Source organism: Homo sapiens, chromosome 12 (genome assembly GCF_000001405.40).
Source record: "Homo sapiens chromosome 12, GRCh38.p14 Primary Assembly".
Classification (NCBI taxonomy): domain Eukaryota; kingdom Metazoa; phylum Chordata; class Mammalia; order Primates; family Hominidae; genus Homo; species Homo sapiens.
In genome coordinates, this window is record NC_000012.12 from 115392677 (window position 1) to 115409132 (window position 16456).

General features: G+C 40.9%; 1 long non-coding RNA gene across 2 annotated transcripts in view; it reads right to left on the reverse strand.

Annotated features, from left to right (window-relative positions):
- LOC105370003 (uncharacterized) overlaps positions 1-16456 on the reverse strand; it is a 389555-nt gene that overhangs the window by 19166 nt on the left and 353933 nt on the right. The window contains exons 3-4 of one of the 2 annotated variants that reach the window (XR_945388.3): positions 14419-14655; positions 13824-14287 (exon numbers count right to left, since the gene is read on the reverse strand). This is a non-coding gene — a long non-coding RNA (uncharacterized LOC105370003). Of the gene's footprint in view, positions 1-13823; positions 14288-14418; positions 14656-16456 lie in introns of those variants that run through there. The other variant, XR_945389.3, reaches the window with a different exon arrangement.

Genomic DNA, 16456 nt, shown 5'->3' on the forward strand with positions numbered 1-16456 from the left:
GTATAAAAATAATACTTAGGAATAAAGTTAACCAAGATGGTAAAAGACTCATACAGTGAGAACTATAAAACACAGATGAGATGAATTAAAGCCAACACAAAAAAATGGAAAAATATTCCAAATTTACAGATTGAAAGATTTGTTATTGTTAAAGTACCCACACTAACCAAAGTTATCTTCAGATTCAATGCCATCTCTATAAAAATTCCAATGGCATTTTCTTTCTATTTTTTTAATCAAAATAGAAAAACAATCCTAAAATTTACGGGGAACCACAAAAGATCCCAAATAACCAAAGCAATTTCGAGCAAGAAAAATAAAGCTGGAGACATCACAGTTCCTGATTTCAAAATATGTTACAAAACTACATTAATCTAAACAATATGATATTGGCATAAAAATAGATATATAACCAAATGGAATAGAATCAAAAGCCCAGAAATAAACCTATCATGTATGGTCAACTGATCTTTGACCAGGGTGTCAAAAATACACAATGGGGAAAGAACAGTTTCTTCAAGAAATAGTGCTGGGAAAACGGAATATCTACGTGCAAAAGAATAAAACTGGACCACGTTCATACAACATTCACAAAAATAGTCTTGAAATGATTAAAAATGTAGTCGTAAGACCTGAAACTCTAGAGGAAAAGATAGAGGAACAGTGTCTTGATATTGGTCTTGGCAATTATTGCTTTAATATGACACTAAAAGGCAACAAAAGCTCAAATACAAGTGGTGCTGTATCAAATGAGAAAGCTTCTACACAGCAAAGGAAGCAATCAACAAAATTAAAAGAAAGCAATCAACCAAATTACCTCTGGAATGGGAGAAAATATTTAGAAAACATGTTTGATGAAAGGCCAATAGCTCAATACCTAAGGAATGCTTACAAACTCTCTCTCCACACACACTCATATATAATATATATACACACATCCATAGAGACAGTGGAATGATATATATAATTTTTAAGTGGCAATGGAATTGCATATACATTTTACTAAAGAAGATACACAAATGACCCAGAGATACATGAAAAGATGCTCAACATCTCTAATCATCAGGGAAATAAACATCAAAACCACAATGAGCTATCACCTTACACCTGTTACATCTGTTTTGGCTATTAACCAAAACGGAAAAAAAGTACAAGTGTTGGCACGGATGTGGAGAAAAGAAAGCCCAGGTGTACTGTTGTTGGGAATGTAAATTGGTACAGCCACTATAGAAAACAGAATGGAGGTTCTTTAAGAAACAAAAAGTAGAACTACCATGTAATTTTTCAGTTGTCTTCTGAGTCTATGTCTAAAAAAATTTAAATCAGAATCTCAAAGAGATATCTACACTTCCATGTTCATTGAAGCATTATTTACAATAGCCAAGTCATGGAAGCAACCTCAATGTCCATCTATGAATGAATGGATGAAGAAAATGTTTTATTTTTACAAAATATTTTATATATATTCAAATATATATTAATATTATTTGGCCTTAATAAAGAAGAAAATACTGCTGTTTGCAACAACGTGGAAAAATCTGGCCCATCTACTTTACAATAGAATTAACATGTCAGTTGCTTGCTATTGAGTAAAACTGTATATTACCTGCACTACACAGTGTAGGTAATTTACAGGCTATCAAGAAGTAGGGGAAGAAACTTTATCTTTTTTGGTCACCATGATACTCCCCATTCCTAGCACAAGATTGAGCACATTGCTGATGAACATACCTATTGGGCAGAAGAATAAATAAACCAGTGAGTGAGTGAGTGAGTGAGTGAGTGAGTGAGTAATGGATGAATGGATGGATGGATGGATGGATGGATGGATGGATGGATGGGTGAATCAGTAAGGAACTATGAGTATTCCCTTTTGAGCAGCAGTGATTTAAAGTCTAGCCTGCTCACCCTCTCAGTTCTCAGGGTAATTTTTTGTTTTTCCAGAGCTGAGGCAAATAGTATCCAAACCAACGAACAGCTGTGATACTCACCAACGACCTCCCTAAATATAGATATCCTTTCAAAGGAAGAACTGAACTGAGGTCTCATAGCACTATAATCCTCTGATTTCATAATATGAAAAGAAATAAATGTGGTTTACATATGCTGGGGAAGCCAACAATAAATCACCCGGCAGGGAGAGAGGGTGCTTTTCCTCTTTCTCCCAAAACCAAGAGGAAGATAATGGAGGAGGAGGGTGAGAAGACAGAGGTAGAGGAACAGAGCAGGGAAAGAAGAGTGAGCAAGGAAGAAGAGAAAGATGAAAACCGGGGCCATTTTCTGAGCTTTCTAGACGTCATATGCTATACACATATTATGTCATTTATTTACTCAGCAAATACTTCTTGAGTCAGGCAGCCTCCTGTGGCACTGGGGACACAGCAGTGAATAAAATGAATATATTTCTGCTTCCATGGAGCTTATATTTTAGTAGGAAAACCTGACTTTGCTCCAGCAAGACCTGAACTCAGAAAGCTAGATTTTAAGTGCAGACTGTCAGCCTTCACACATGAGAAAACCAAGGTACAAAAAGTTTAGCAACTCGCTAGGGCAATTATCAAAGTCTTTACAAATGAGCTATGCGTAAGAAGAGAAAAAAATTGTGTGAATGCATAAATGAAGGAAAAATGCATTCATGTCCCTCCTTTCTAAACAGAATCTTACCTCCTTCAGGGCAAGGATCAAGCTCACTTTCCTGTATAGATCACACACACACACCACACACACACACACACACACACACACACACACACACAAACACATCTTGCAAATAATCTATCCCTGTTAAATCGACAATGTGATGGTAGGGAACTTCATATATTCCAAATAAATTCATGTCATTTTGGCTCTGACTTGGCTCCCCCAGGGAGATGAACAACTTTTCTCTGATCAAGCAATAGTCACACTCTTGATTGTTTGTAGATGAAATAATTAGCATCAGCAAAATGACATGGTGATTTACTTTGCACCCAGGCATTCTCCACGTGCTAATGAAATCTTTACACAGTATGTTAATTGGGCTCAGTAGCTAGGCAAATCCTGAAATGTCCTGCCCAAGGGAGGTGAAAACAACCCCATAGAGAAGATGAGATCAAAAGGCCAACATTCACATGAGCCTTCAAGCTCCCCAGACTGATCCAGTAGTTCTAATTCCCTTAAGAGACTCAAACCACCAACTTCTTCCTTCATTTCAATAGATGGTCCTGTTTGCCTCTGTATATATCTAATCTGTCATTGAATCCTACCCACTCGACCTCAAAAATATTCCTTGAAAGTGTCCAATTTTCCATGAATCTACTCTCACTTCCCAGTCTGAGCTACCATGGCATCTTACCCATATGGTCTCCCTACATTTGCCTTGCCCTTCCCATCCATCCTTCACACTGCAGCCAGATAGGCATATTAGAAAGCAAATTTGATTAAGCTCTGCACTTCCATTTTTTTTTAAATTTTATTTTATTTTAAGTTCCAGGATATAGGTGCAGGATGTGCAGGTTTGTTACATAGGTAAATATGCGCCACGGTGGTTTGCTGGACCTATCAACCCATCACCTAGGTATTAAGCCCTGCATGCATTAGTTATTTATCCTGATGCTCTTCCTCCCCTTCCCCCACCCTCACAGGTCCCAGTGTGTGTTGTTCCCCTTCCTGTGTCCATGTGTTCTCACTGTTCAGCTCTCACTTATAAGTGAGAAAATGTGGTGTTTGGTTTTCTGTTCCTGTGTTAGATTGCTGAGGATAATGGCTTCCAGCTTTTATCCCATTCCTTTTTATGGCTGCATAGTTTTCCATGGTGTGTACCACATTTTCTTTGTCCAGTCTATCACTGATGGGCATTTGGGTTGAGTCTACATTTTTGCTATTATTGACTCCCCAGAGTCCCCAAGATAAGAGCCAGAATCTCTTCCATGGCCCATATGGGACTGCAGGACATAACCTGGTCTTACCTTCCTGACTCAGTTCTCATCACCCTGTATTCATTCCATCACACTGGTCTTCCTCCATGTTCAGACTCTATTTTCTTTGCCTCCTACATGCATATGGTTCTCTGTGCCTGGAACACATTCTTGCTCACTCTTTGTATCAGTCAGCTATGCTGCATAACAAATCACCCACAAACTTAGCTTAAACAAAAACTAAAAGCAAAATACATTTATTATCTCAAAGTTTTTATGGCTCAGGAGTCTGGGCCTGACTTAGCTGGGTCTTCTGCTTTGGGTTTCTCAAAAGGCTGCAATCAGGTTGTCACCTAGGGCTGGAGTCTCATCTGAAAGCTCAGCTGTGGAAGGATCCACTTCTAAACAAATGGGCTCTTGACAGGATTCAGTTCCTCATGCACTGTTGGACTGAGAGCCCTCATTCCTTTCTGGCTGTTGGCTGGAGGCTACTCTCCATTCCCTGCCATGTAAGCTTCTCCAACATAGTTGTTTCATCTAAGCATGCAAACCAAGATGGCAACAGAGACAGTCTACTTGCAAGACAAAAGCTGCAGTCTTATGAAATGGCATCACAGAAGTGACACCATGTCACCTTGGCCTTATTCTGTTAGTTAGAGTAAGTCACAGGTCCCACCCACATTCAAGGAGACAGGATAACATGAGGTATCAGGAGGCAGGGATCACAGAGACCATCCTAAAGTCTGTCTGCCACATGTCCCATTAGCCTGACAAGAGAATTTTTTCCCTTGAATCTTTTCTGACATGTCACTGCCTTAGAGGAGCCTTCCCAACTAAAATTATTCCCACCTATTATATGCCCATGCAGTGGCCTGTATTTTCCTTCAATTATACCTGTGTACTTTTAATGACTTGCTTCATGGTTGTCTTCAGGTAACACATCTGTTTAGAGCTACATATCCAAAGTCTAGCTCAGAGAGTAACTTCCCTATTCTGAAGCTCAATGCGTGTATGAATGTGCTTTTGAATGAATGACCAAACAGAAGTATCCTGAGTGTCATGATCTGTTCAAACATTTGTCCTAAACTGTGCAACTTAAAAACTACCCAGACACTCACATATTGGCCCCCTCAGTATCTCTGCCTGACTTTGTCCTCCCTACTCCATTATTAATACTAGGGTGGAAGAATAAGATCCTGGAAAACTTTAGGAACATTCCAAAGTAGAATTAATCACCCCGGGAAACAGTCCCATGCTCCGTCTTAAAATGTATGCTCTTTCCTATTCAGTGATGTTGATACATCAATCCATACATTGAAAGGAACATTGAACCCATTGTTAACCTTCAATGTTAGATCAGGAAGAAGAGAGAAGCCAGGGTCATTCCTGAGCACCTGCCACATGCCAAGCACTATGCTATGTTAATACTTGTGAAATCTTTGGAGATAAGGACTTTTATCTCCATTTTTCAGATAGAAAAACAAGTTGAGAGGGGACTTGAATTTTGCAGTGGTGTGCTGGTAAACTTGATGGTGTGAGGGAGCTTGATTCTAGTCTTTGCTGATTTTCTCCATGCAGATATTCTCACCATGACCAATCTTAACCTACCGATGGCTTCACAACTAAGTCACGAAATTCTTGAAAGTTTTTCAGCTGATTCTTGCAAGCCCATGAGTGCTGGCTCCAGCTTACCATTAGACCTCTTTAGGAACAGGCCAGTGGTTAAGATTTTTTGTTTATGTTTTTGTTTTTCTTATCTCTCATCTTCTACCACATGGAGATGCCACTGAGATATTAAGCTCCTGGAGGTTGAGGGTTTGCCCAGCCCAGAGCCTTGCTAGAGAGTGATGCTCAGTAAATATTTGTTGTGTCAGTGTGACTGGAATTTTCAAGGGCAGTCCAGAAGGAGCCAGATCACCCCCTGGCGGGATCTAAACAGGGACACAGGACACTGCAGGGACAAACACCTAGTGATACTAGGGAGCTCCCTGGTGATGACCTAGGGGACAGACGCCTGTGGCAACGGCCTTCCTCTGGCTGAAGCAGCTGAGCAGGAAAGAAGAAAACCAGGAGATACCAGCTTGGTAGGGGATTGGCAAGTACACCGCTTGCCTTCCTGCCCTCCCAGCTCCTGCTGCCTCTGAACTGTTGCCTACCAGGTGGATTTGTGGACTTAGGATCTTGGGAGTCCCAGAGATAAGGCTGATGTCTCAGAAGTACTGGAGACACACCTGGAACCTTCTTACCTGCCCTAAAGCTCCAGAAACAATGAAGAAGGCTGGAGCTAAGGCAGATTTTGGAGAGCATTCATCTCTTTGTTTATTCATTCAGCGATCACATATCGAAGGTTATATACCAGACAGAGTGGAGTAATGATGTTAGGCAAAAGTAGTCCTTGCAGATATCTGCACTCCCATGTTTACTGCAGCATTATTCACAATAGCCAAGATATGGAATCCACCTAAGCATCCAACAACAGATGAATGGATCGGGAAAATGTGGCGCATATACACAATGAACTATTATTCAACCATAAAAAGCATGAAATCCTATCATTTGCAACAACATGGATGGAACTGGAGGACATTACGCTGAGTGAAATAAGCCAGACACAGAAAGACAAATATCATATGTTCTTACTTATATGTGGGAGCTAAAAAAAAAAAAAATTGATCTCATGGAGATAGAGAGTAAAATGATATTTGTCAAAGGCCGGGAAGGGTAGTGGGGAGGGGGAGAAAAAGAGGGCTGATTAATGGGTACAAAAATCCAGCTAGATAGAAGGAATAAGATCTGCAGTTTGGTAAACAATAGGGTAACTATAGTTAACAATAATTTATTGAATATTTTGAAATACCTCGAAGAGTGAAATTGGAATATCCCGAATACAAAAAATGATAAATGCTTGAGGTGACAGATATCTCAGTCACCCTGATTTGATCATTACACATTGTATGCGTGTGTCAAAATATCACATGTACCCCATAAATATATACAACTATTATGTATCCACAACACTTAAAAACAACAACAGGCCAACAGTAGTCCTTGCCTGCATGGAGTCTGCTATCTAGTAGGAAAGGGAGAAATAAAGTATAACATCAGGATATTTCTGACGCCTGCTAACCAAGGTAGGAAAGGAGAGGCATGAGAGAGGCATCTCAAAATCCAGTCTACAGTATCAGGGAAGGCTTCCTGGAGGAAGTGGTGTTCAAGGTGAAACCTAGAGTATTCAGCCCAATGAAAGGAAGGCATATGCCTATGTCACATCATCTAATTCTACATATCTAACCACCTTTCATCAGCCTTCTTTTTCTCTATCAGATAACAAAAAGTCTATTTTGTTACCAATTGTCTTACAGAAAACTGCCCAAAACATTGAGGCTTAAAGCAATAATCATCTTATTAGGCCTCATGCTTTTGTGAGTCAAGAATTGGAGCAGGACTCAGCTGGGTGGGCACTGAGTGGTATCAATGGAACTCATCAGTGTTAATTACCTGGAGAGTGGGCTGGTCTGGAGGGTCCAAGTCAGCTTCCCCTATATGTGACTGGTGACTTAGCAGGGATGGATGGAGGGCCAGGTTCAGCTGGGATTGTTGACTGCAAAGCTGCACATGGCCTCTCTGCGTGGCAGTCTCAGAGAGTCAGATTTTACGCAAAATGGTGAAGGGATCCCACAGACAAGTGTGAGCCCGAAACCTGACACGGCATCACTCTAACTGTATTCTATTGGCCAAGCAGTTACAGAATCTTCCCAGATCTGATGGAAAGGAACAGAGACACCACCTCCCCACTGGAGGAGCATTAAAGAATTTGCAGAGTGGTCATTTTGTTTGTTTGTTTGTTACTATACAACCACAAAAAGTTGCAAAAAAAAATAGAGAGACTGTTTTTTTACTGCACCCAGCTTCCCTCAGTGTTAATATCTTACATAATCATAGCGTATTGCCAAAAACAGGGAATTGACTGCAGTACTTTTTAACTCAGGAACAGACCATATTCAGACTTCACCAGTTTTTACATGTAATTGTGTGTGTGTGTATCGTATGCAGAGTTCCATGAAATTTTATCACATGTAAACACAGGTAACCATCATCACAGTCAAGATGTGGAACTATTTCATCACCATAAAGAACTTCCTTCATATGGGCAATTTTAATCCACCTCAAGGTCTAATATTGACAACAGAGATTCCTCAGTTTGAAGCCCAACATTGTTAAAAGCTGGATGAGGCTGGGCACAGTGGCTTATGCCTGTAATCCCAGCACTTTGGGAGGCCAAGGCGGGCAGATCACGAGGTCAGGAGATGGAGACAATCCTGGCTAACACGGTGAAACCCCATCTCTACTAAAAATACAAAAAATTATCCAGGCATAGTGGCACGCTCCTGTAGGGGGCTGCTCAGGGGGCTGAGGCAGGAGAATTGCTTGAACACAGGAGGCAGAGATCGTAGTGAGCCAAAATTGTGCCACTGCACTTCAGCCTGGGCGACAGAGCGAGACTCCATCAAAAAAAAAAAAAAAGCTGGATAATGCTGGATGATTCCATTGCAGATCCTCAGTTTCTTTATCTGTAAAATGGGTCAACAAGGAGAGGCTCCATAGAAACCAGAAAGCCCAAGTCACAGATCTAACTTATATTCTCAACTTCATACTTCATCTTTGTGAACACAAAGAAATAAGCTTCAGTTAATTTCAGCTCAGTTCATCAGTAAAATTGGAATACAACAACACACATGGTAAGAATGTAGTGAGGATAAAGGAAGACAATGTGTGCAAAACCCCAGCACAGTGCCTGCCAGAGACTCTTAAGAGTCTGTCCCCCATTCTCTTACATTTTTCAACTTACTTGTAATCCTGCCATCTTGAGGAGTTTGTATATTTACATACTAAGCTTTATGGTAATTGGCTTTGGTTAGTTGTTTGTGTAATTGGTTAGACACAATTCTGTATTGATTGTTAACATGATACTGTTTTTTAAAATTCATTTTTTAACCACTTCTAAATCAAACCATCCTTCTTCCCTTACTCTGAACAATAATAGATCATGCAGAAACTCAGCCCCTAAAAGAGTCTTAGCGTGATTAAAGAAAACCCAATGTGAAAAATCCAACCATCGGAGTTCCACACATCTTTAAGAAAGCCCCTATATTTAGTTCTGAGCCTTAGATGTCAAAATCTTCTGCTACCCTGAAACATCACCAAAGGAAATAAAATTAAAAAAAAAAAAAAAGGAAAATGGAAGCAATTTACCTCCCCAGGCAAAAGAGTGATTTTCCCCTTTCTTTTGATGCTGTCATTTTCTCATTCTCAAGAATTCCTTTTCAGTTCCTCAACATTTTCCTTCTCCTCTTAGGTAGTTCTAAGTCTGACTTCATTTCTGGAAAAGAGAATCACTGGGCCTGGATTCAACACAGAATTCGACCGAGGATCTACCCAAAGTATCTTGGCCTAAAAAGTCTTGAGGCTACTTTTTTTCTCTTGCCACAGTCTACTGCCTGTCTCTTCCCCAACCACATTTCTGGTACACCCCATATGTGTGTTTCTGGGGGTTTGCACACTTAGAAACGTGGCATTTATACAGTTTTACTTAGGGAGAATTTAAGTTGAAACAGCCCAACAGCATGACTTTCAAACAAAACAAAATACCAGCTTCTGAGAGTCTGCAATGCTACCCAGGCAATATTGGACAGAAATTAAATTACGACCATTTTGAAGGAAACATGAGGAGAACTCTTTGGTTTATCTATCCTTGAGAGAGCGTTGCTCCTCAGCTGGGTGAAATCTCTGGCCTCATTCCTAAAACATTGCAAACTTTGCTTTGTACATACTTGCTGAGGAAAGCACACAGGTGTCTGTCCTCTGCTCAGCCTAGAAGCAGCATTAAGTGGCAACGATCAGCCCCACACGTATCATGAATTGGACTCCCTGCATCAGTAGCTGGGGACATTAGTTCTGTTTTGACATGCCTGCTCAAATTCGAGGCCACTTCTTTTATTTTAAAGAAGGAAACAACCACACTCACCTTTACTCTGGAGACTTCTGGAAAGATGGGGTGACGCAATAAGATCTCTAAAATAGTGTCTCCAACTTTAATGTGCACATACATCTCTGGGGGGATCTTATTAAAATGTAGATTCTGATTCAGTGGCTCTGGGGTCTACCTTGAGATTCCTCATTTTACCTGGCTTCGAGATGACACTGGCGGCTACTGGTTAGGGACCACACTTTGAGGAGCAAGATTCTAAAGCACTTCAGTGATGAAGGATTGAGAAAAAAACGTTGAGGTCCCTTGTAAATCTTTTCTCCTTAGACATACTTCAGTAAAGCTTTAGAATCCATTGTAGCTTATTTCATAAGGCAGACTGCCTAAAAGTGAGCAACCAGTGAGCAATCAACCTGCAGTCTTCCAAGTTCTGAGGGCATCAAGTCTAAGAGTCAAACCCAGGCAGCAAGCTGAAGGGTTTTTCTTGTATGTGTCTGTCTTCTGTGGCTGCTGTGACAACTAATCACAGGCTTATTTGCATACGACCACAAAATTTTATTATCTTACAAGTTCTGGAAGTCAGAAATCTGAAAGTGGGTTACACCGGGCTAAAAATCAAGGCATTGGCATGACTGCAGCCACTCTGGAGGCTCTAGGGGAGAATCCACTTTTTGCCATTTCCAGTTTCTTGGGTCCTCTCACTTTCCTTGGCTTGTGGACTTTTTCTTGATTTTCAAAGCCAGCAGTGTAGCATTTTTCTCATCTCTCTCAGCCCTCTTTCCAGCATCACATCTCCTTCTCTGACTCTGACACTTCTGCTTCTCTCTTATCCTCTTCCTATCTCAAGGTTCTTATCTTCATCACACACACAAAGGCTCTTTTGTCATGTAAGATAACACAGTCACAGGTTTCGGGGATTAGGATGTGGACATAGTTGGGGGCCATTTTCGACCCACTATGTCTTATTTCCATTGGTGAATCCTGGTGGAATACTTTGCTCTAGACAGTGCTAGGGTATATACAGATCCTCTAAGAGGTCATCTTAAAGCTTTGACTTCAGGAGTCCTGAGAAATATCTTCCTAAAACTAAAAACTCCCCCAGAGACCAATTGATTTGATTTAAATCATGTGGCTGATTGTTTTCCGAACACAACAATATTTTCCATTCTATATGCTCTTCTACAATATGACCTTGCACCCTCCCATCCAGCGGTTGGGGTTTGTGTTCCCATCCTTTAGACCTGGGTGGGCTGTGACTGTTTCGACCAGTAGAGTCTAATAGAGTATGGCAGAAATTATATTGTGTAACTTCTAAGGTTTTGACCAGTAGAGTCTAATAGAGTATGGCAAAAGTTATATTGTGCAACTTCATAAAAAGCAATACCGCTTCTGCCCTGTCCACTAAGACACTTATGCTAGAACCTCAAAACACCATGTAAGAGTTCCAACTAACCCTGAGGCTGCCACACTAAGAGGAAGCCCAGGCCACATGGAGAGGCCATATGTAAGTGCTAAGCGATGGCATTTTTAAGTGATCCCAGTTCCTGTAAGTAAATCTGCCTTGCAGATTTCTGTAGCAGAGAATTCCAAGCAGAGGGGGCTGTAGTGCAAAGGTCACGAGGTTGGAGTGAGCTGTTCGTTTTGAACAGAGGAGTGCCATGGTCTGGTTTAGGATTTAACAGGTCCTGGGAGCTGGGATCACCTAGAAATCCCTTCGCTTAGCACCTACATATCCCAGCCATTGAATTATGTCCAGATTAGACCTTAGACATCTTGGAGCAGAGAACACCTGTCTGCACCTTCTATCAAAACTTCTGAGTCACAGAATCTGTTACCTAATGAAATGGTTGTTTATACCATTAAGTTTTTGGACACTTTGTTACACAGCAAAGATAACTGGAACAAAGTGGATCTCTTTGGAATGCAAATGTCTATCAGTATGAGAAATATAAACAATCAGAATTGCAGAGTATATATTCACTTGTTTATTTATTCACTTACTCTCTTACATCCCCGTTTATGAACACACGCATGCTCTCCTAATTTATTCACGTACTTATCCAAAAGCATGATAAATTCTCACTATGAACAGAGATACCCTCTGAGAGTTCACTTGGCAATGGGGATTCATTCATTCATTTCATAGATATTTATTGCCTGGGAAGTGTTCCTCAGAGATGTATCAAAATAGGAACAGACTTTCTTTCCTGCTTTGGTTGGAAAAATCCCAGGGAAGGCACCTCATTGGCTCTGTTGGATGGTGTGTCCAATGCTGTACCCATCACCCAGCCCAAGAGGGTGGGGAGCTAGCATGGACAGCCTCTATTCAAACCATATGTTTAGAGAGGAGGCAGGAGCAATTTATCAAAGGATCACCAGTCCCTGAAGAAGTGAGGGCGCTGCCAGGTCAAACAACGGCTGTCCCCTACGAAAGACCTGCCTTGCCTGTTCTCCATTGACATCATGCACCACCTTCGGCAGCTACTAGTGTTTATCCATCTGCTTTGGCTTTAACTACCAAACTCTAGAGGCATTTCTAATACTCGAAGCAGCAACTCGGATTTTTAAAAGCTGCTGCTTGTATCATTTACCGTAAGATCAGCCAGGCTGTAAAACAGCATCCGAGGCTTCCCAGAGGATGAGGGAGGACCAGAGGTAAAGAAACTCTTATTTCCCTAGGCAAGTCAAAATGTTAACCCTCTGATGACCCAACTCTCTGGTGCACCTCTGCTCTGCAGATTACATGAAAAGAAACCTATTCTATATCTCAGTCCAATGACATCATGGGAAATACCAGGAATTTTTTGGCTGCACACAAAATTCCTGTGAGATTCTTGGAAAATCTTACACAAAACTGTGAGTAACAGGGACTTAGTAACCTCAAGTCATCTTAATCAACACCAGGCGATAAAAGGAGAATATATTTTGAAACCAGGCAGATCTATATTTGAATCTCCTTGTTCTGCTATTTATCAGCTATGTGAACTTGGGCAAGTTACTTTTCTCTAAGGCTCACTCTTTCCATCTTTAAAATGGGCATTATGATGCTCACTTCAACAGTTTCCAAGGGCTGATATGAAAGAATTAAATCAGTTAATGGATGGAAATGTGTGTCACAAGGTCTTGCACGCATCTCGGTTATTATGATTGTGTTGTTGCTATCACTTTTGCTAAGTCATAAAGCTGCACGTCTTTTCTGACATGGGATTTAGGGGTATCCCAGGAACAGAAAAGAAGGCTGTATGATGCGAGAAAAATCAAAGAACAAAATGATATATTGTATATCTAAATATGGAAGTAAAAACAATAAAGCTTCTAGAAAACACTATAGGAGAGTTTTTTTTTTTAATTTTTATTCAGGCAGGGAATGATTTCTTAAACAAAAACAAAAGACAGTCCCCAAAAATCAAATTTAAAGGAAATATATGTGTGTGTGTGTGTGTGTGTGTGTGTGTGTGTGTGTGTGTGTATGTGTATATAAAATACGAATTTCTGTTCACAAAGACACACTATTAAAACAGTGAAAAGTCAAGTAACAGAAAAGAAAAAGATACTTGCAACACTTATCACCTAGTAAAGGCTCATTTTCAGAATATGTAAACAGCTTCAGAAATCAGTAAGAAAAAGAGAGATAACCCAATTTTAAAAAAATGGGCAGAAGATTCAAACAGGCATTTCATAAAAGATCTCCAAAAGTATGGCAAACATATAAACTGTTGGTCAGCCTCAATAATAATCATAGTAATGCTAGTTACAGCCTCAATGAGATACTACTACCCAATTACCAGAACTACTATAAATTCAAAATACAGACAATACCAAGTGCTGCCAAGTATGTGGAACAACCTGAACTCTTACACATTGATGGTAAGAATATAATTTGGTACAAACACTTTTGAAAACATTTTGACATACATAAAAATATAAATGCATGCTTTAACTGAGCAATTCCCTTCCTAGGTACATACCTAACAGAAATGAGTGTACCAAGAGAGGGAAAAGAATATTCATAATGATACTATTCACATTAACCCGCAAATAAATCAAATACCCCTCAACAGAAGAATCAATCAATAATCATATCATCATACAACAAAATGACATTCAATGATAAACAAACAAAAGCTTCAGACACAACAGAAAGGAAGCTCACATACACAGTGTTCGGGAAAATAAATCAACCACAAAAGAATGCATTTTATTTATATTAAGTGAAAAAGCAGACAAAACTGTTGTTAAAAATCCAGAAAGAGGCCACTTTTGGGGAAAGGTATGGATGAAGGATAACAATTTAGAGAGGGCAGGAGCGAGACTTCTAAGGAGCTAATAACATCTTAGGTCTTGATCTGGGCAAACGTTTGCAATTTCTTTGAGCCATTCATTTAAGTTTCCTGTTGTGTTTTTTCTGTAGGTACAGTATAATTCATAAGACAGTTTAAAAAAAAAAAATCAGAAGGCCTGCCTTGTACCCGCCTTGTACCACCCACTTCAATGGGCCACAACCTCCCTGTAGCCAAAGCCCCAAGCGCTGTTTACCTTAGGATTGGAAGGATATGTACTCGAGGCTCCATCACCAGACCTCCCTCCTTGGGCTCAGCAAGTCTGCTACATCCAGTTGGCCTCAGGCCAGCTTCCTCCACTCCTGGGGTCTTTTGTGCTCCTCAGGTGGAGGTGATCTCCCAGCATGCTCTGCACGGCTCAGTCGGAGGCCGGGGGGCCTGGGTTTTGTTTCCTCAGTGTCACCCGTCCCTGTGGGCTTCTTCAAATGAATCCCTGGAGGACAGAGAAATGAGAGAGTATTAAAAATGTCAGAGACAGATCCTGAGATACACAGCTGGGTAAATAGAGCTGGTGGAGATGTTGTTATTAGTGGCTTTCTGGTCATGCTCACTTAAGTTATGGATGTAAGGTGGGGGTGGAGGAGAAGAGGCATGAGGGTCTTCTACCCATTTCCAGACCTGCTCAGTCCCAATCATCCAGCACCCTCAGATGTGGGGGCACTCTCTCAGTTCTGAGGGGACTCACCATGTTAGGAAATTGTATACCTGTTCATTATGCCTCTGCAGAGAATTTTCCCTCCTGGTGACAGAAACATAGAGGGCCTTTTCTCTTGGATTTCTCTAGGAAGCCTCACCCCACCTGGGGAAGAACTGATGCCACATCGTTTCTCTGGCAAAACCTGGTCAGTTTCATATGAGAAGTAGGAAAGGGGGTGGTATTTTTGAGAAGTAGAGGATGGAAACTTCTCTGATCTATTGTCTCATGGTCAATGTTCTACCAAGTCACCAGAAATGAAAGCCATCCCTACCACTGTAATGCCCAAAGCAATCATTTTGTGAATACTCATTATGTGCCTCAGAGACCAGAGTTGAAATTCAGGCTTACCAACTTGTTGTTACTTGCCCTTGGGAAAATTATTTAGGCTTCTGTTTCCACATCTCTAAAATATAAATAAAATAGTACCCACTTCATAATGCTATGGTGAGGGATAAATGAACACATCCCTGGAAAGCAGTTGGCACAGTACCAGGCACACAGTAAGCCCTCAATAAATGTTAGTTACTATCAATGGTAGAACACCTCTTCCCAGAAAGCATAATATCTGTGTTGTACCAAAAGACAGGAGTGATATGAATAGTATAGTGTGGTCTTATTTTTATTACTGCATAATAATCTACTCCCAAATGTAGTAGTGTCTGGGCTCAGTGGTTCACACCTGTAATCTCCAGCAGTTTCTGAGGGGAAGGTGGAAGGATTGCTTGAGCCCAGGCATTTGAGATCAGCCTGGGCAATAAGTGGACTCCATCTCTAAAAAATTTCTTTTAAAAATAGTCAGGTGTGGTACCGGCTACTCTGGAGGCTGGGGTAGGGATTATCGCTTTAGCCTGGGAAGTCAAGGCTACAGTGAGCTGTGATCGCACCACTGCATTCCAGCCTGGGTGACACAGAGTGAGACCCTGTCAAAAAAAAAAAAACAATGTAGTAGCATAAAACAATGGTCATCTCATGTATTCTGTGAGTCAAAAATTTGGACAAGGCACAGAGGAACTGGGTGAGCTCTACTCCACTATGTCTAGAGTCAAGCGGGAAAACTTTAAAACAGCTGGGACTAGAAAACCTACTTTCAAGTGTCTGGTGCCTTGACAGGGATGGCTGGAAGGCTGGATGCAGGAGGGATTGTCAGCTGACATAGCTCCCAGTAGCCTACCCACTGTGGCAGCCTAGGGGTAGTTAGATGTCTCACCTGGTGGCTCAGTGGTGCCCCAGCAAGTAAGGCACAAGTGGCATTGCCTTTTATGACCTAACCCTGGAAGGTTGCATTGCCTTTTACGACCTAACCCTGGAAGTCACATAGTATCACTTCTGCCATACTTCATTGATGAAAGCAATCAAAAGCCCACCTAGATTCAATCGGAAGGGTCATAGACTCTATTTTCTATTTTCCCATGAGAAGAGTGTCAAAAGATTTATGACTTTTTTTTTTTTTTTTTGTAAATGACCACAGGATTTACTCTGTGCCAGGTCCTGAGCTATATTCTTACTATATATGATTGCATGTGTTCTTCACAAGGAG